This window comes from Homo sapiens, chromosome X, assembly GCF_000001405.40.
Source record: "Homo sapiens chromosome X, GRCh38.p14 Primary Assembly".
Taxonomy (NCBI): domain Eukaryota; kingdom Metazoa; phylum Chordata; class Mammalia; order Primates; family Hominidae; genus Homo; species Homo sapiens.
Window position 1 is genome coordinate 110,070,979 of NC_000023.11, and position 21,104 is coordinate 110,092,082.

General features: G+C 38.2%; 1 protein-coding gene and 1 non-coding gene across 21 annotated transcripts in view; both read left to right on the forward strand.

Annotated features, from left to right (window-relative positions):
- Window positions 1-21,104, forward strand: part of TMEM164 (transmembrane protein 164) — a 181,883-nt gene that overhangs the window by 68,610 nt on the left and 92,169 nt on the right. The window lies entirely within an intron of this gene.
- Window positions 11,140-11,240, forward strand: MIR3978 (microRNA 3978). Its single transcript, NR_039774.1, has one exon. It is a non-coding gene; the product is annotated as a microRNA 3978 (primary transcript).

A 21,104-nucleotide genomic window follows, 5' to 3' on the forward strand; every position in this document is an offset into this window, starting at 1 on the left:
TGTTGCATTTGCTAGAAATTCAGAGTTAAATAAAAATTGTGCTGACGGGCTACTCTTGCCTAAAACTGATTTTAAATGGAAATATTTTCTGTACTCCTCCATATTTGCTGTTGGTGTTTGTTAATAGTCTATTATACTTAAGTAGTTTTTACATTTATGTAGAGATTTTTAAATATTTATTTATTTATTTATTTATTTATTTATTTATTTAGACAGTGTCTCACTTTGTTGCTAGGATGGTCTTGATCTCCTGACTTGAAGCAATTCTCCTGCCTCGGCCTCCCAAAGAGCTGGGATTACAGGTGTGAGCCACTGTGCCCAGCCAAGATTTTTTAAAAGAAGGAATGGTAGCTGTATTTTATCTAATGCTTTTTCTACATCTATTGGTCATGTGGGATTTTTTCATTTAAATTTTTGATATAATAAATTACATTGATAGATTTTCTGGTTTTGAACTACTCTTACATTATTGAAATACACCCGCTGATCATAGTATATTATTATTTTGATACATTGCTGGGTTCTATTTGTCAATATTTTATTTAGAATCTTGCTTCAATATTCCCGAGATTAGAGTCATGTTTTTCTTAGTGTTTTTTTCTTCAAGTTTAAGGATTGAGGCCAGGTGTGGTGGCTCATGCGTATAATCCCAACACTTTGGGAGGCTGAGGTAGAAGGATTGCTTGAGGCCAGGAATTCGGGACCAGCCTGGACAACATACCAGGACTTTGTCTCTACAAAAAAAAAAAAAAAAAAAAAAATTAAAATTAAAATTAGCAGGGCATGGTGTTGTGTGCCTGTAGTCCCAGCTACTTGAGAGGTTGAGGCAGGAGGATCACTTGAGCCCAGGAGTTCGAGGCTGCAGTGAACTATGATTGTGCTGCTGAACTCCAGCTTGGGCTACAGAGCAAGACTCCATCTTTTAAAAAAAACAAGTTTAAGGATTAAAGTTATGGTGGCTATGTAAAATATACTGCAGAATGTTCCTTCTTTTTCTCTTGTCTGGAATACTTTAACTACCGTTAGAAATTATGTATCCTGGCTGGGCGTGGTGGTGGGTGCCTGTAATCCCAGCACTTTGGGAGGCTGAGGTGGTCAGACCACCTGAGGTCAGGAGTTCAAGACCAGCCTTACCAACATGGTGAAACCCCTTCTCTACTAAAAATGCAAAAATTAGCTGGGTGTGGTGGCAGGTGCCTGTAATCCCAGCTACTCGAGAGGCTGAGGGAGGAGAATCACTTGAACTTGGGAGGCGGAGGTTGCAGTGAGATGAGATCGCACCACTGCACACCAGCCTGGGCGACAGAGACTCCATCTCAAAAAAAAAAAAAAAAAAAAAGAAATTATGTATCTTTTAAAGGTAAGATAATCTGTGAAGCCATCTGGTCTTGGTGCCATTTTTCAATGGGTAAACCCTTAATCACCTTTCTGATGTGTTCTGTGGTAATCTATTCAAATCTTTTTGGGTCAATTTTGGTCGTTTGTGTTTTGCTGGGAAATTATCCATTTCTTCTAAATTTTCAAATTTGTTGCCAAATATTTAGTTGAGCATGTAGTATCCTCTTATTTTATAATTTAAAAATATCTCCTTATCTGTAGTCATGTATTTTTTCTTGGACTTGATCTTGTCTGTTTTTGTGTTCTCTCCTCTGTATATTAATCAGGTTAGTAAGCACTTATCTGTTTTTGGTTGCTACATAGAACCATGTTTTCAATTTATTTATTCTTTCTACCTTATTTATTTTTTCTACTTAATTTTCAGCTTTTATCTTCATTAATTCCCTCTTCTGTTTTTTTCTTAATCTCTCAAGCACAAGGACAAGTATTTATTCCTTTATTTATTTTTTGTCTTTTTTTTTTTCCAATTTTTCTTCTAGATCCAAGGGTTACATGTGCAGGTTTGTTACAAGGGTATGTTGCACGATGCTGAGGTTTGGGACATGATTGAACCTGTCACTCAGGTAGTGATGAGCATAGTACTCAATAGGTAGTTTTTCAGCCCTTGTCATCCTCCTTCCCTCCCCTCTCTTGTAGTCCCCATTGTTTGTTGTTTTTATTTTATTTTTATTTTTTGACAGGTTCTCACTCTGGTGCCCAGGCTGGAGTGCAGTGTTGAGAACGTGGCTCACTATAGCCTCGACCTCTTGGGCTCAAGTGATCCTCCTGCCTCAGCCTCCCAAGTAGCTGGGACTACAGGCACTAGCTGTGACACCTAGCTAGGTAATTATTTTAGTTTTTGTAGAGATGGGGTCTTTCTGTGTTGCCCAGGCTGGTCTCAAACTCCTGGGCTCAAGAAATTCTCCCACTTCAGCGTCCCAAAGAGCTGGGATTACAGGCATGAGCTACTATGCCTGGCTTGTTTTAACTATCTTTATGTCTATGTGTATCTAATGTTTAGCTTCTACTCACAAGTGAGAACATGTGGTATTTGATTTTCTGTTTCTGTGTTCGTTAGCTTAGGATAATGGCCTCAGCTGCATCCATGCTGCTGCAAAGGGCATGACTTCATTCTTTTTATGGCTGCATACTATTCCATGGTATACATGTACTATATTTTCTTTATCCAGTCCACCATTGATGGGCATCTAGATTGATTCCTTGTCTTTACTATTGTGAATAGTGCTGCGATGAATATACGGGTACTTGTATCTTTTTGGTAGAATGATTTATTTTCCTTTGAGTATATACCCAGTAATGGGATTGCTGGGTTGAGTGGTAGTTCTGCTTTTAATTCTTTGAGAACTCTCCAACCTGCTTTCCACAGTGGATATGAACTAATTTACATTCCCATCAACAGTATATATGCATTCCTTTTTCTCTACAGCCTCACCAGCATCTGTTATTTTTCAAATTTTTAATAATAGCCGTTCTGATTGGTGTGAGATGATATGTCATTTTGTTGTTGTTGTTGTTCTTTGAGACAGAATCTCGCTTTGTTGCCCAGGCTGGAGTACAGTGGCCTGATCTCGGCTCACTGTAAACTCATCCTCCCGGGTCCAAGTGATTCTCCTGCGTCAGCCTCCCAAGTAGCTGGGACTACAGGCACATGTCCCCATGCCTGGCTCATTTTTGTATTTTTAGTAGAGATGGGGTTTTACCATGTTGGCCAGGCTGGTCTTGAACTCCTGACCTCAGGTGAACTGCCCACCTCAGCCTCCCAAAGTGGGGGGATTACAGGAGTGAGCCACCACGCTTGACCTGATTGTGGTTTGATTTGCATTTCTCTGTTAGTGATAAGAGATTTTTTCATGTGCTTGTTGGCTGCTTGTATGCCTTCTTTTGCGAAGTGTCTGTTCACGTCCTTTGCCCACTTTTTAGTCAGGTTATTTGTTTTTTGCTTGTTGATTTGTTTAAGTTTCTTATAGATTTGGGTTATTAGATCTTTGTCAGATGCGTAGTTTGTGAATATTTTTTCCCATTCTGTATGTTGTCTGTTTACTCTGCTGATAAGTTTCTTTTGCTGTGCAGAAGCTCTTTAGTTTAATTAGGTCCCACTTGTCAATTTTTGTTTTTGTTTTAGTTGCTTTTGAGGACTTAGCTATAAATTCCTTGCCATGGCCAATGTCAAGAAGGTATTTTCTGGGTTTTCTTCTAGGATTTTTACAGTTTGAGAGCTTACATTTAAATGTTTAAGTCATCTTGAGTTAATTTTTGTATATCATGATAGGAAGGAGTGCAGTTTCATTCTTGTGCACGTGTATAGCCAGTTTTCTCAGCACCATTTATTTAATAGGGAGTTCTTTCCCCATTGTTTACTTCTGTTGACTTTGCTGAACATCACATAGTTGTAGGTGTATGGCTTTATATCTGTGTTCTCTATCCTATTCCTTTAGTCTTTGTATCTGTTTTTGTACCACTACCATGCTGTTTTGGTTACTGTAGCCTTGTAGTATAGTTTGAAGTCAGGTAATGCGGTACCTCTGGGTTTGTTCTTTTTACTCAGGATTGCTTTGGCTATTTGGGCTGTTTTTTGGTTATCTATGGATTTTAGAATAGTTTTTTCTAATTCTGTGAAGAATGACTTTGGTAGTTTGATAGGAGTAGCATTGAATCTGTAGATTGCTTCGGGTAGTATGGCCATTTGAACAATGTTGATTATTCTAATCCATGAGAATCTAATACTTTTCCATTTGTTTGTGTTAGCTATGATTTCTTTTAGCAGGGTTTTTTAGTTCTCCTCGTAAAGATCTTTCATCTCCTTGGCTGGATGTATTCCTAGGCATTTTATGTTTTTGTAGCTATTGTAAAATGGGATTACATTCTTGATTTGATTCTCAGCTTGAATGTTATTGGTGTATAGAAATGCTACTGATTTTTTTATATGATTTTGTATCCTGAAACTTCACTGAAGTTGTTTATCAGTTCTAGGAGCCTTTTGTTGGAGTCTTTAGGGTTTTCTAGGTATAGAATTATATCGTCAGTGAAGAGAAGATAGTTTGAATTCTTCTTTCCTATTTGGATGCCTTTTATTTATTCCTCTTGCCTGATTTCTCTGGCTAAGCCTTCCAGTACTATGTTGAATAGGAATGGTGAGAGCGGGCATCCTTGTCTTGTTCCAGTTCTCAAGGGGAATGCTTCCAGCTTTTGCTCATTCAGTATGATGTTGGCTGTGGGGTTTTCTTAGATTACTCTTATTATTTTGAGGTATATTCTTTCAATGTTTAGCTTGTTGAAGGTTTTTATCATGAAGGGAAGTTGGATTATATAAAAAACCTTTTTATTTGACTATTGAGATGATCATATGGTCCTTGTTTTAAATTCTGTTTATGTGTCGAATCACATTTATTGATTTGCATATGTTGAACCAACTTTGCATCCCAGAAATGAAGCCTACTTGATTTTGGTGAATTAACTATTTGATGTGCTGCTGGATTCAGTTTGCTAGTATTTTGTTGAGGATTTTTGCTTCTATGTTCATCAGGGATATTGGCCTGTAGTTTTCTTTTTTCACTGTGTCTTTGACAGATTTTGTTATCAAGGTGATGCTGGCTTTGTAGCATGATTTAGGGAGGAGTCTCTCCTCCTTGATTTTTTTTTTTTTTTTTTTGTAATAGTAAGATTGGTGCCAGCTCTTTCTTTTTTATCCATCTGATAGAATTTAGCTCTGAATCTATCTGGTCCATGGCTTTTTTTGGTTGGTAGGTTTTCTTTTTTTACAATTACTGATTCAATTTCAGAACTTGTTATTTGCCCAAGGTTTTAGTTTCTTCCTGATTCATTCTTGGGAGGTTGTGTGTTTCCAGGAATCTATCCATTTTCTCTAGATTTTCTAATTTGTGGGCATAGAAGTGTTCATAGTAGTCTCTGAGGTTCTTTCATATTTCTTTGGGATCAGTTGTAATGTCACATTTGTCATCTCTGATTGTGGTTATTTGGGTCTTCTCTCTTTTTTCTTTGTTGATCTAGCTATCAATTTATAGATCTTGTTTATCCTTTCAAATAACCAACCTTTTTTTATTGATCCTTGGTATGGATTTTTTTGGGTTTCAGTTTCATTCATTTCTGCTCTGGTTTTAGTTATATCTTTTCTTCTTGCTTTGGAGTTGGTTCTTGTTTTCTAGTTCCTCTAGACACAACTTCAGCTTGTTAATTTGAGTTCTTTCTAACTTCTTGATGTAGGCATTTAGCACTATAAATTTTCCTCTTGATACTGTTTTTGCTGCATCCTATAGATTTTCATATGTTGTTTCTATGTTTTCATTAATGTCGAAGAATTTTTTGATTTCTGCCTTAATTGTATGGTTTATCCCAAAATCGTTCAGGAACAAGTTGTTTAATTTCCATGTAATTGGGTCTTCTTGGTATTGATTTCTATTTTTATTCCACTGTGGAACAAGAGTATGCTTGGAATGATTTCTAGCTTTTTGAATTTATTGAGACTTAACTTTATGGCCAAACATATGTTTGATCTTAGAGTATGTTCCGTGTGCAGATGAGAAGAGTGTTTATTCTGTGATTGTTGGGTGGAGTGTTCTGTAGATGTCTATTAGGTCCAATTGGTTAACTGTCAAATTTAAGTCCAGAATTTCTTTGTTCATTTTCTGACTTGATGATCTGTCTAACACCATAGTGGAGTATTGAAATCCCCATTATTATTGTGTGGCTATCTAAGTCTTTTTGTAGGTTTCAAAGTATGTGTTTTATGAATTTGGGTGCTCCAATGTTGGGTGCATATATATTCAGGATAGTTAAGTCTCCTTGTTGAATTGAAGCCTTTACCATTATGTAATACTCTTATTTGTCCTTTTTTACTGTTTTTGGTTTGTAGTCTTTTTATCTGGTATAAGAATTATCGACCCCTGTTCTTTTTTGTTTTTCATTTGCATGATAGATTTCTCTCTATCCCATTACTTTGAGCCTGTGGGTGTCATCACATGTGAGATGCTTCTCTTGAAGACAGCAGGCAGTTAGGTCTTGGTTGTTTTTATCCATCTTGCCACTCTGTGCCCTTTCAGTGGACATTTAGACTGTTTACATTCAACATTAATATTGATATATGAGGTTTTGTTCCTTTCATGATGTTGTTAATTGGTTGCTTTGTAGTCTCGATTGTGTAGTTGCTTTTTGGAGTCTATGGGCTGTGTACTAAAATGTGTTTTTGTGGTAGCAGATATTATTCTTTTGTTCCCATGTTTAGAACTCCCTTAAGGAGCTCTTGTAAGGCTGGTTTAGTGGTAACGAGTTCCCTTAGCATTTGCTTGTCTAGAAAAGATTTTATTTCTCCTTCTCTTATGAAGCTTAGTTTGGTGGGATATGAAATTCTTGTTTGGAATTTATTTTTTCTAAGGATGCTGAAAATAGGCCCCCAGTCTCTTCTGGCTTGAAAGGATTCTGCTGAGAAGTCTGCTGTTAGCCTGACGGGATTCCCTTTGTAAGTGATCTGACCCTTTTGTCTAGCTGCCTTTAAGATTTTTTCTTTTTCATTGTCCTTGGAAAGTCTGATGGCTATGTGTCTTGTGGATGGTCATCTTGTATAGTATCTTGCAGGAGTTCTCTGAATTTCTGTAATTTGCATGTTGTCTTCTCTAACAAGATTGGAGAAATTTTCATGAACTGTATCCTCAAATATGTTTTCCAAGTTGCCCACTGTGTTTCCTTCTCTCTCAGGAATGCCAGTGAGTCTTAGGTTTGGTCTTATTACATAATCCCATATATCTTGAAACTTTTGCTCATTTTTAAAAATTCTTTTTTCTTTATTCTTGTCTGACTGGGTTAATTTGTAGGACCATTCTTTGAGGTCTGAATTTCTTTCCTCAGCTTGGTCTAGTCTGTTGTTAATGCTTCCAGTTGTATTTGAAAACTTGTGTAGTGAAGTTTTTCAATTCCACCAGTTCTGTTTGGCTCTTTCTTAAAATGTCTATGTTGTCTTTTAACTCTTGGATCATTTTACTGGCTTTCTTCGATTGAGTTTCAACTTTCTCTGGAGTCTCATTGAGCTTCTTGCCATCCAGATTCTGAATTCTGTGTATGTCCTTTCAGACATTTCAATCTGGTTAGGATCCATTGCTGTGGAGCTAGTGTGATCCCTCGGATCATCACATTTTAAAATTAAACTTTAGGTTGGGCGCAGTGGCTCACACCTTAATCCCAGCACTTTGGGAGGCCGAGGCAGGTGGATCACCTGAGGTCAGGAGTTCCAGACCAGCCTGGCCAACATGGTGAAACCCCATCTCTACTAAAAATACAAAAAATTAGCTGGGCATGGTGATGGGCACCTGTAATTCCAGCTACTCAGGAGGCTGAGGCAGGAGAATTGCTTGAACCCAGGAGGCGGAGGTTGCAGTGAGCCGAGATTGTGCCATTGCACTCCAACCTAGGCAACAATAGTGAAACTTTGTCTCAAAAAATAAAATTAAATTAAACTTTATACTTTGAGATAAGTATATAATATGAGGAGATTTCAAAAAGTTCACAGAAAATGGAATTAAAGATAAAGATAAAAATTATAAACTTCATTTCTCAACAGAAGCTCCGTGAACGTCAATTTAATTCATCCCTAAAGAATGCAATTTAATTCATCCCTGAAGAACTGAGGGTACTGGGAATGTAACTGTCAATGTATTCTTTTTTACATTATTAACTAAAGATAAATGAGGGCCTTTAAGATATATATTTTTTTAAGTTTAAGAAACAAAAAGAAGTCAGAAAGAGCCATGTCAGGACTTTGAGATGATTGCCTAATGATTTCCCGTCGAAACTCTCAGAGAATTGCCCTTGTTTGATGAGAGGAATGAGCAGGAGCATTTTCCTGGTCAAGAAGTATTCCCCGGTGAAGCTTTCCTGGGCAGTTTTTCACTAAAGCTTTGGCTGACTTTATCAAAACACTGTCATAATAAGTAGGTGTTATTGTCCTTTGACTCTCGAAAAAATCAACAAGCAAAATGTGTTGAGCATCCCCAAAACCTGCTGCCATGACCTTTGCTCTTGACCAGTCCACTTTTGCTTTGACCGGACCACTTTCATTGCTTGGTAGACATTGCTATGATTGTACTTTGTCTTCAGGATCGTGTTCCATCTCCTGTTATAATTCTTTGAAGACATGCTTCAGGATCTTTATCCCACCTGTTTAAAATTTCCATTGAAAGCTCTGTCCTCATCTTCAGCTGATCTGGGTGCAATTTTGAAACCCATCATGGGGAAAGTTTGCTCATCTTTAATTTTTCAGTCAGAATTGTGTAAGCTGAGCCAATTGAGATGTCTGTGGTGTTGGCTATCGTTTCTGCTATTAATCATTGGTCTTCTTCAATTAAGAAATGAACAAGATACGAATTGATGTAGGTAGTCTGCCACTGCAGGCTTCATCATCAACATCTCACCCTTTCTTAAAATGATGACACTCTGGGGACTGCTGTGGGGTAGGGGGAGGGGGGAGGGATAGCATTAGGAGATATACCTAATGCTAAATGACGAGTTAATGGTTGCAGCACACCAGCATGGCACATGCATACATATGTAACTAACCTACACATTGTGTACATGTACCCTAAAACTTAAAGTATAATAATAATTAAAAAAAATGAGTTATCCTGTAAACTGCTGATTTCTTCTGGGCATTGTCTCTGTAAACTTTTTATAAAGCATAAATGATTTCACCATCCTTCCACCCAAGCTTCACTATAAATTTGATGTTTGTTCTTGCTTCAATTTTAGCAGAATTATTGTTGTTCTGGTAGGGGCTCTTTTCAAACTGGTGTCTTATCCTTCTTAGTGCCTCAAACTAGATCCTGTTCAGACATGTTAGAATAAGTTAGCACGAGTTTATTTTGGTGCTGAAAATTTGAAATCCATGCATAGTTTTTTGTAATAATATGTATTTCCCATTAACTTATTGAAGACCTGTTGTCTATTAAGTATAATAATGTAGAAAAAATAATATAGGAAAAAACACAAAGAAATCCCATGTACCTTTTACCTAATTTCCTCCACTGGTAACCTCTGGCAAAACTATAGTACAGTATCACTGCCAGGATATTTTCATTGATACGGTCTGATAAAGCAGAACAGTCCTGTCACCATGCAGATCTCTTCTGTCATTCTTTTATAGCCATACCCACCATCTACATATCTAAACCCCATCCCTGATCCCTGGCAACCATGAATCTATTCTTCATATCTATAATTTTGCTATTTTAGGAATCTTGTGTAAATATAGTTATACCTTATATTACCTTTGAGGCTGACTTTTTAAAAATCACCTAGCATAATTCCCTGGAGAGTTATCCAACTTTTTATAATACACAACATTTTTTTCTGTTTTCGAGACCACGTTTTGCTCTGTTGCCCAGGCTGGAGTGCAGTGGTGCATTCACGGCTCACTGCAGCCTTGGCCTGCTTGACTTAAGTGATCCTTCCACATCAGCCTCTCAAGTAGCTGGGACCACAGGTGTGCACCACTATGCCTAGCTAATAATTTTTTTTTTTTTTTTTTTTTTTTTTTTGTAGAGACGGAGTCTCATTATGTTGTTCACACTGGTCTGAAACTTCTGGCCTCAAGTGATGCTCCTGCCTCGGCCTCCTAAAGTGCTGAGATTACAGGAATGAGCCAACACGGTGGCTGATACACACCATCTTTAATGGGTGCATATTATTCCATTGTGTGGAAATACCATGTTGAGTTAAAAATCAGTATTTTAAAAAGTAGAGAGCCCTTAAAATACTTTAACTTTACATTAGTATTGTTCTTTACTGTTTAAAAGTTCTTTGCTTTAAATTTTCTCATCTAATCTTTAAAATAGTATTGGGGGATAGCGAATACATTATCCATACTATAAATAGAGCAGTAGGGGACCAAGAAATATTATATAACTTGGCTAAGATTACTTCGTGGCAGAGTCAGGATTCCTATTCTTTCTTCTCTTGCCAGTGATCATAACATAATCAGGTTTACTGTGTGCCTAGGCATGGTGGGAAACACTTAACATTGATTATTTTATTTAATCCTTCTAACAAAACTGTGTGGGAAGTACTAATAGTAGTACTGGTACTATTAATAGTAGTTTGGTCAAGAGAACTGGGGCTCAGAAAGTTTACATGACTGGATGTGGCTTGCATGTGGTACATGCAGGATTTGATCCAAAGTTTCTCTCACTCCAGAGCCCATGCTGCTAATCATGACCTTGTGTTGCTGAAGTGAATATTTTCTACTATCCCATTGTTGTTTAAATTGTTAAAAGTATGAAAGCATCTTATTTAAAATTCCCTATGTCTCAGTATACATGGATGAGCTCTGTTGTGATCTTTATGCCCGTGTGTTCTTTGGGTTTGTTGACTAGCATCATATACCTATCTCTCTTGCTTTCTCTATGGGCCCTTTGCTGTGCCAGCCACACATGAGTTTACCAGCTTCCCAGCTAACCAGGGGCCAGCATGTTCTTCCTGGAGGCATGCCCAGCCACTATAGGAAAGGGGTATGACGTGTGCAGCAGGCTGCATGTCCTGTGCTTGGCAAAGGCTGGCAACTCCCACTGGGGTGGAGAAGGGACAGGATTCTCCACATGGTTCCCATGGTACACTTGACAAGAGGGAATGATAGTACCACAGTGTTATGTCTGGGTCCTGGAATGCTTCATTTATATGTACCTCAGTTGACATGTGACTTGCTCAGTCCTGCTGCTATAGCCTGCTGCTGGAAGGGCTGCCTCAGTGGAAAGCATGCATCCAGGGTGTGGAGCCAAAATTAGAAGGGCCAAAATTCTACCTGGCCCACTACCACAGCAACCTTGGGCATCGTTTTCTTTTGATCTCTAGTATCTCCAACTCCTAGAATTCCAGCCTGGCAGTCTTCTGCCTCTGAAGGCCTCTTATCCTTCCTGTTCTTGGCTCCTCTTCTCTGTGAATGCTTACATAGCAGCGTCAGAGTTGTTTGTTGTATTGTGTCTGTACATGCAGTGCTGTTCTGTATCTCTTTGAATCTGAGCCATTTTCTTTTGACTCATTTGGCTGATGTGAATGGTACTTTCCTGAAGAGCTATCTACCAGTGCCGTTGACATCCAAGCCACAGAATTCTTTTCCTCACTTCGGTTTGAATAAAACCAACATATCCTTAGGGATGGTTTTGCACTTACTATCCTGCTACTAACTTGGAAAAACGTTACATGTCTCATTCATCTTAGGGAACCGACCCAGTCCCAAAATATGAACTAGCCTGCCTCACCAGTTATTAACAAATAAGATTTCCTTTTGAAAACCTCAGGGATAGGATAAAGGACTGTGTTGCAGTGTAACCAGACCTCCCCCTCACCCCCCAGTTCCCCCAACACATCTCACATCTCACTGGTGGCTTCTCTTTTCTTTTTCCCTTGCCTTTTGTGTCAGTTTTTTTTTCTTTCAAATATCATTATGGGTAATTTGGAACATATACATAATATGGTGGTTACTTATATCTATTAGCTATTTACATATTTTATTCTGTAGATTGTCAGCTCATGGTCTCTGCTGAATTTTGATGTACAGGTGTTTCCCTTGTTGATTTGTATGAGTTTTACATATATAAAGAGTGTTAATCTTTTATCACTTTTGCAGTAAATGTTTTCCCCAGATTGTCTTCTAACTTTTTAATGATGCTTTTGATAATAGATTTGGTTTACATTTTTATTGGTCAAATTGATTGATTTCTAAACCCCCTTCAGATCATGGTAATTTCTTCCATTGCTTTTACACTTGAAAAGACATTTCCCATTCTAAGGTTAGAATGGGATTTAAAACAATCCAGTTTTAAAATAGTTTTAAAAATATTTAACTTGTCAGTCCATCAAAAATTCATTTTGTGACTAGTATGAAGTAGAGTATAGCTTATATTTTCCCCTAGAGAGTCATTTATTTGAGCACCATTCATCAAATAACTATTTTCCTATGATTATTGCTATTATACTTTTATCATACATAAATTCTTCTATATGCTAGGATTTTTTCAGCTTGTATTATTCATTGATCTCTCTCTTGGGTTTTCCATCAGTTTCATACCCTTATATATGCAACAGCTGGTAAACCAGATTTCTTTTGCTTTCTCTGCAGCCTAGCGCATTACCCACACTTTTTTCTTAGCTAGTCTCAACCATTTTTTCGTCCAAATGAACTTAGAATGTTTCTGTCAGGTTCTCCTCAAAATCCTACCAGGATTTTGATTGGAACTACTTTAAACCTAAAATTTCATTGACATCATCACAACACAGAGTCTGTCATCCAGGAAAAGACATGATATGTTAATTTATTAATTTTCTTTTATGTTCCTTAGTTGCTCACATGCATGTGTGTGTATCTCATATATTTCTCATCAAGATCATCCCTGGATAGTTGATAGTTTATGATATTTATTATATTTTCAAACTAGTTATTACTGGTAGGTAGGAAAATTTTTGATTTTGTGTGTCTATGCTTAATTCTTATTTCTAATAGTTTTTCAGTTGCTTCTCTTGGATTATTTTTGAAATTAATCACACCAGCTCCCATATGATAACTTTATTTCCTTTTAAAGAACAAAACTGCTGTTTTGCTTTCAAACCTGATTGTATTGGCTAGATCTTTTGGGATAATGTTAAATAATAGCAGTACTAGCAGGAGTCCTTGTCTTGCTTCTGATTTTAATGGAAATGTTTCTAGTGATTCACTTAATAGAAATGTTTCTAATGGTTCATATTAGTTGGCTCTGATGTTGTCTGTTGGTTTAAGTTAGATGTTTTTTATAATATTAGGGAATTACCTTATTCTTAAATTATCAAGTCCTCACAAAAATCAAGAATAGTTGGCCAGGTGTGGTGGCTCACGCCTGTAATCCCAGCACTTCAGGAGGCTGAGGCAGAAGGATCACTTGACATCAGGAGTTTGAGACCAGCTTGGCCAACATGGTGAAATCCCATCTCTACTAAAAATACTATATATATATAGTATAGTATATATATAGTGTATATATATATAGTATAGTATATATATATAGTGTATATATATATAGTATAGTATATATATATAGTATATATATATATAGTATAGTATATATATATATAGAGAGAGAGAGAGAGAGAGAGACATGGTGGTGCATGCCTGTAATCCCAGCTACTCGAGAGGCTGTGGGAGGAGAATCGCTTGAACCCAGGAGGTGGAGGTTGCAGTGAGCCGAGATTGTGCCACTGCACTCAGCCTGGTTGACAAAGTCAGATCTGTCTCCAAAAATAAAGAATAGTTGTTGAGTTTAGCTGATGTTTTCTAGGAATCTATTAAGAGGTTCATTTGTGTTTTCTACTTTGATCTCCCCATTTGGTATATTATATTATAGATTTCCTAATATCAATCTTTGTTAGCTTTCTAAGATAAATTTTCCTTTTCCTTTGCATGCTTGGGAGAGCCTCAGATTTGGCTTCCATACTATTAATTTGATTGATTTTGCTCTCTGCTGTCTCCAATGTGAAATTTATTTATTTTTGTTACAATGTTAATTTCTCTGTATTTCTTTCTAGCTCTGTTGAGCTACTTACCCTAGGTTGTCTTTCCTTCTCAATGTTTTATTCTAGTGGCTTTCTATACCTGTTTCATAGAGTCCATGTTTTCTTTCATTCTATTGAGGATGTAAACAGTTTTCTAAAATATTTCTTCTGGTTTATACACAAAATTAAGACGTTTTTGTTTCCTCTGAGTTGTCAGAGTGATATGCATTTTCCTTGTGCTGCCAGAGGTTTTCATATGAACTTTTTTTTTTTTTTTGGTAAAGCAACAGGGTCTTGCTCTGTTGCCCAGGCTGGAGTGCAGTGGCATGTTCATAGCTCATGGAATCCTCAAACTCCTGGGCTCAAGTGTTCCTCTCACCTCTGACTCCAAAATAGCTGGGACTACAGGAAAACACCACCATGCTTGGCTAATTAAAAAAAATATATATATATATATATTAAAACAGGGTTTTGCGGTGTTGCCCAGTCTTGAACTCCTGGCCTCAAGTGATACTCCCACCTTGGCTTCCCAGTGTTAGGAATAAAGGCATGAGCCACCATGCCTGGTCAGGTTTTTTGTATGGTTTATGAATATTCAAAAAAGGATCTGTCTTTCATCAAATACAGGGTATGTAGATTGCCTTTGACTATCCTCAAGCTCAGATTCTCTCTCATATTGGTTAGAACCCTTTTCAGCTCCATTGTTGGCAGGCAGGTTGATACACATAGCTTTTAACCTGTTTCACAGTGTCTGTCAGCTACTCATCTAGTGGGTTCTGCTGGACCCATATGGAATCGTCTACCCCTACTACAATGTTCTCAGATGCTCTGAACCAGATAAACTATGTGAAACAGTACAGCCTCCCACATGTGTTACTACCTGAGTGTTACTTGTGAGGGCTCCCACTCCTAGCACACAGTGTGCCAGTACCAATTCTGCCATTTCTGCCCTTTTGATTTTGGGGAATTAGAGTCTCCATGTGAATGTAGACCAGTTTTGAGAATTGCTGATTTCCTCTGCAAGTAGTAACCACGTAGTCCAAATGGATGTCCGGTTTGCCAGTTTCTAGATGAACTCTTGGCTTCTAAGCCATGAGGCTGACAGTTGTGGAAGGACTCAATGTTTCCTATCTTCTTTTAGGTTTCTGTGGGCTGCTGCATGAATTGGCCAGATTGTTTTTTCTCATTTCAGTATTAGGCTTATTGTTAATGGAGATTTCTCCCAGATCCTGGTAATAAGTTGGCCATCAGTTTAAGTTTTCAGTGTTTGGGGAATTTTATCTTTTTCTATATCTTGATAGGTATTTGAGTGGGAAATTGAGAGAGGCTATGTTAGTGATTGCTAGCCAAGTGCTATTTTAAAGTAGAAATCCAGTGTATATTTTAGATTAGAGCAGAGATTGGCAACCATTTCCTGTAAAGGGCCAGAGAGTAAATATTTTAGACTTTGCAAGCCATATGATCTCTGTGTTTTAACTATTTAACTGTTGTTGGAGCATGAAAGCATCACAGAAAAATGCAAACAAATTAGTGTGGTTGTGTTCAAATAAAACTTTATTTACATAAACAGGAGGACCAGATGAAAAAGTTCTGGAGATAGCTGGCAGTCATGGTTACACAACAGTGTGAATGTACTTAATGGCACTGAACTGTACACTTAAAAGCAGTTAAGTTGGAAAAAATTTTATATATATATGTATATATGTGTATATATGTATATATGTGTATATATGTATATATGTGTATATATATGTATATATATATGTGTGTGTGTATATATGTGTGTGTGTGTGTATATATATAAAATCATGCCAATAAAGAAGCCAAAACAGAAAAACCATATTTTGCTGACTCTGAGTTTAGAGGAATTAGATCTAGCATAGGCAGAGAGAGAGAGGAAGAAATTACATATGTACAGTAGGACAGTGACTCTGTTAATAAGCTAGAAGGCAGTGGGAGACATTTGAGTATTTAAGAGGAATACCATAATGGGGATGGTGAGATCTTGGAAAGCTACAATTCATCCTAGTGATGTCATCTTATGATCTTTACAGATGGAGATACACAAGAGTTCACATTCACATTCTTTGACATAAGGATCAGAGTAGGGCTTTTCTACTTCTCTAGAGGCTTGAGAAACCTCTGCAGCTGTCAGAAGTGTTCATATCAGAAACAAAAGCTAACCAGTCATTTCTTTTTGCTTGTAGTACAAATGGTGACTAGTGATGCTTCTGGTAGTTGATCTGAGCTCTTCCCAGGACTAGAAGATCCTAGCATTTTAGTTATTAACCACAGCACACTTACTCAATAAAAGAGCAGTCATCAGTCTGAGTCAACTGTTTATACAGCCTCCAGCCTAAGATTCTTCCTTATCAGCTAGAGACCTGGGCTTAAGAATTTCACAATGGGCTGGGAGCCTCTTAGAGAAACTAGCCTTTTGAGACTTTCTCTGAGTTGGGCTCTCTTGTTTGTTGTTGTTGTTTTTGAAACTGTCTCACTCTGTTGCCCAGGCTGGAGTGCAGTGGCGTGATCATGGCTCACTGTAGCCTCGACCTCTGAGTTGGGATATCTTGAAGGAATACATGAAGGAAAAGGGAACAGAGATTAAGGTTTTCCAGGCTTTGGGTTGTAATCAGACAGTTTAGCTGTATTCTGAACACCCAGCACTTAATGTGCTTGGTTATCCATGTGTATGTATCAAGGGTGGGGGAACTCATGGAGTGAGTCACTGAGTGGTATGGTTTAAATGGCAGGAAACTCTTCCCTCACCCCGCCTTGGGTAAGAAAAGGGCATAGCAGAGCGCTGACACACATCCCTCTGCTCCAGAAAGTGTACAGTACCCCTCTGCTCCCCACTGAAACCCTAAAGTTGTTCATCTTCATGTGTGCCAGGAAAGGAGTGGATCTGTGATGCAAATAGGATTATTTGGTCATATCTGCTGACTCAGTCTAAAGAAGCTTTTGAAGGGGATGAGATGAAATTTCATCTATGCTGCAGAGAGCAGGAGGTGCATTGCTGGATGGAGAGAGGACTGTAGGCTGCATGTGAGCCAAGGTAGACGAGGGAAGCATGGGGGTGGGCATGAGGAACTGGGGCAGCCTGACACGTGATCTTGGCATTGCAAAACTGATATCCTGTTGGCCTTTGGGCCACATGATATGATGACAGTGCAGTATCCCCATGGCCCTTTCTTTTTCTAGATTTCATTTATGATACTCTCAGATTTTTAAATAGCATGACTTTCCCCAGGGAGAAATTCAGACCTCAGGTCTCTAGGACTGCTCTGAGGTCATGAGATAGACTCAGTTTGAACCTGTTGAGTTTAAATGTCTTGGAATGATTTTAGCATCTCAGTACCCCCTTTCCCAGTGCTCATCTGGTCAGCTGCTCTGGAACCTGAGGGATTCTAAACTGAGACTTAGTTTGGGGTCATATGCAGTTAAAAAGGGACAGTCTTTTGGCACCTTCACCTCGGAGGTGGCTGCTTTTTGGCTTAGCGTTGGACTCATCACTGAAAAAGATAGTTGAGAGGTTGTTTTTGACCTGAGCAGCCTTATTAAGACTCAGTTATTGGCAAAGGAGAGAAGGCTCTGCTTATAAATGTTGCAGATTTAAAGGGGAAAGAGGAAACCACAGTAAGTAAAGAGCGATTCAGGGAGACCAGTTTCTCTTTTTTATTCAGAATGCTGCTCAGGTATCTGCTTTCCTAGGAGCCACCTTATTGTCAGGTTCTGCCTTCGGTTTATGTGTATTCTTCCCTTAATTCTTAGAAGAGGGAAGATGCTTTGGGGTTGTTCACAGGTTCCCATTCGACATAAAATAGAAGCTGCCTACCTTTACATATACTCAGTTTTATCTTCTCCAAGTCTCCCAGAAGTTCTCTTTGAAAGTTCCTAGAGCAGGGACTGCTTTTATTTTTTTTCCTTCTCCTAGGCTTTAAGCATGTATTTAGATGTATGTCACCATTGGGTAAAAGAAAGGCTAAAGATTCAGATAACTTTTCCCATCTGTGGAAACATGGAAAGCAGTACTCAGCAGAGGAATGAGGACTGATTATTTTGGGCCTCTTTTTACTTTATCCAAGTGAAGAATCTACTGTGCTATATATTTGTCAAAAGCAATTCCAAAGGGCAGGGGTTGGGGGAAAGCAGTACGGCATAATAAGATTTGGGCAAGTTAGATAGGAGCTGTGCAGTTGGTAATGAAGAAGCAGAACTGTTTCTTTCTCATTATAAAAGTAATCCATGCTAATTGTAAGGAAAAGAAATAAAATATTATAGAAAGCAATAAAGAATACAATAATAATAACTGATAATTCCTGTTAATATGTTGGTATAATTTCTTCTTAGTTTTCTGTAGGTATAGATTTCGGCTCACTGCAACCTCTGCCACCCAGGTTCAAGCGATTCTCCTGCCTCAGCTTCCCGAGTAGCTGAGATTACAGGCACTGCCACCACACCCGGCTAATTTTTGTATTTTTAGTAGAGACAGGGTTTCACCATATTGGTCAGGCTGGTCTTGAACTCCTGACCTCATGATCCACCCACCTCAGCCTCCCAAAGTGCTGGGATTACAGGCGTGAGCCACCATTTTTAGAAACAAAATAAAGATCATTCTACATATGATACTTTGTAATATTTAAAATATAACGGGATTGTTTACCCATCTAATTAAGTATTCTTAACATGATTTCTGATGGCTACATAGTATTCCATTGTTTGGATGAACATAATATAATGTATTTAAACACTGTTCTGTTCAATTCAGCATTTGATTTATCGGGTAGACATGTTTTGAAGGGATCTTGAATAGTACAGTGGAATTAGAGTTATAGTTGCGGTTCTGCTTAATTCTTAGCTCTGTGATCCTGAGCATAGATTAAAGTCTTAGCTTCCATTTCCTCATTTGTAAAAGAATGCTATTAATAGTAATGACCCTCCTGAGTAAAAATGGTTAGATGACATGACCCATGTAAATTTCTTAGCATGAAATCTAACATATACCAGGAACTCAATAATTGTTAGTAGTAGCGTATAGCATTATCCTTGTCTTGACACTTTGTCATCTGTGTACTCACTGTTAGAATTTGGGTCTCAAGGAAAGAAAATTGCTTTCATTTAGATAAGTAAAATTTCAGAATGAAAATTGCCTTTAGATAGGTAGCCTCTTTTACCAGTTGAGTACCTTCCAGATAGGGGCATTTGCCAACTTCCTGAATTTCACAGGGAAAAAAAAAATTCTGCAGTCTCTGTGGTTGTGCGGCCCCATTTGGTTCAGAACAAGGAAGTGGGAAACCACCAGCTGCAACCAGGGAATTATCTTTGTGTCCGCAGGCAAAGCCAGCCAAGCCCCCCTGTTCTACTTATCTTTTTTTTTTTCTTTACTTGCTTGTTTTTTATGTTCTTTTAGTCTGAATTTTTTTTTTTTTGAGCAGAGTCTTGCTCTGTTGCCCAGGCTAGAGTGTAGTGGCACAATCTCGGCTCACTGCAACCTCTACCTCCTGGGTTCCAGCGATTCTCCTACCTCGGCCTCCTGAGTAGCTGGGACTTCAGGCACATGCCACCACACTCGGCTAATTTTTTGTATTTATTTATTTTTTTAGTAGAGGTGGGGTTTCACCATATTAACCAGGATGGTCTTGATCTCCTGACTTTGTGATCCGCCTGTCTCAGCCTCTCAAAATGCTGGGATTACAGGCGTGAGCCACTGCACCTGGCCTGGAAATTTTTAAACATACGGAAAAGTGAATAGCGCAGTACATAGAATACTTGTATAGCTTCTGCTTAGTCTCAGCAGTTGTCCTACTTTCTTTATTTTTATTTTTTATTATACTTTAAGTTCTAGGGTACATGTGCACAACATGCAGGTTTGTTACATATGTATACATGTGCCATGTTGGTGTGCTGCACCCATTAACTTGTCATTTACATTAGGTATATCTCCTAATGCTATCCCTCCCCCAGCCCCCCACCCCATGACAGGCCCGGCGTGTGATGTTCCCCTTCCTGTGTCCAAGTGTTCTCATTGTTCAATTCCCACCTATGAATGAGAACATGCAGTATTTGGTTTTCTGTCCTTGCGATAGTTTGTGGAGAATGATGGTTTCCAGCTTCATCCATGTCCCTACAAAGGACATGAACTCATCCTTTTTTATGGCTGCATAGTATTCCATGGTGTATATGTGCCACATTTTCTTAATCCAGTCTATCATTGATGGACATTTGGGTTGGTTCCAAGTCTTTGCTATTGTGAATAGTGCCACAATAAACATACATGTGCATGTGTCTTTATAGCAGCATGATTTATAATCCTTTGGGTATACACCCAGTAATGGGATGACTGGCTCAAATGGTATTTCTAGTTCTATATCCTTGAGGAATCGCCACACAGTCTTCCGCAATGGTTGAACTAGTTTACAGTCCCAACAACAGTGTAAAAGTGTTCCTATTTCTCCACATCCTCTCCAGCACCTGTTGTTTCCTGACTTTTTAATGATCGCCATTCTAACTGGTGTGAGATGGTATCTCACTGTGGTTTTGATTTGCATTTCTCTGATGGCCAGGGATGATGAGCATTTTTTCATGTGTCTTTTGGCTACATAAATGTCTTCTTTTGGGAAGTGTCTGTTCATATCCTTTGCCCACTTTTTGATGGGGCTGTTTGATTTTTTCTTGTAAATTTGTTTAAGTTCTTTGTAGATTCTGCATATTAGCCCTTTGTCAGATGGGTAGATTGTAAAAATTTTCTCCCATTGTGTAGGTTGCCTGTTCATTCTGATGTTGGTTTCTTTTGCTGTGCAGAAACTCTTTAGTTTAATTAGATCCCATTTGTCAATTTTGTCTTTTGTTGCCATTGCTTTTGGTGTTTCAGTCATGAAGTCTTTGCCCATGCCTATGTCCTGAATGCTATTGCCTAGGTTTTCTTCTAGGGTTTTTATGGTTTCAGGTCTAACATTTAAGTCTTTAATCCATCTTGAATTAATTTTTGCATAAGGTGTAAGGAAGGGATCCAATTTCAGCTTTCTACATATGGTTAGCCAGTTTTCCCAGCACCATTTATTAAATAGGTAATCCTTTCCCCATTTCTTGTTTTTGTCAGGTTTGTCAGAGATCAGATGGTTGTAGATGTGTGGTGCTATTTCTGAGGGCTCTGTTCTGTTCCATTGGTCCATATCTCTGTTTTGGTA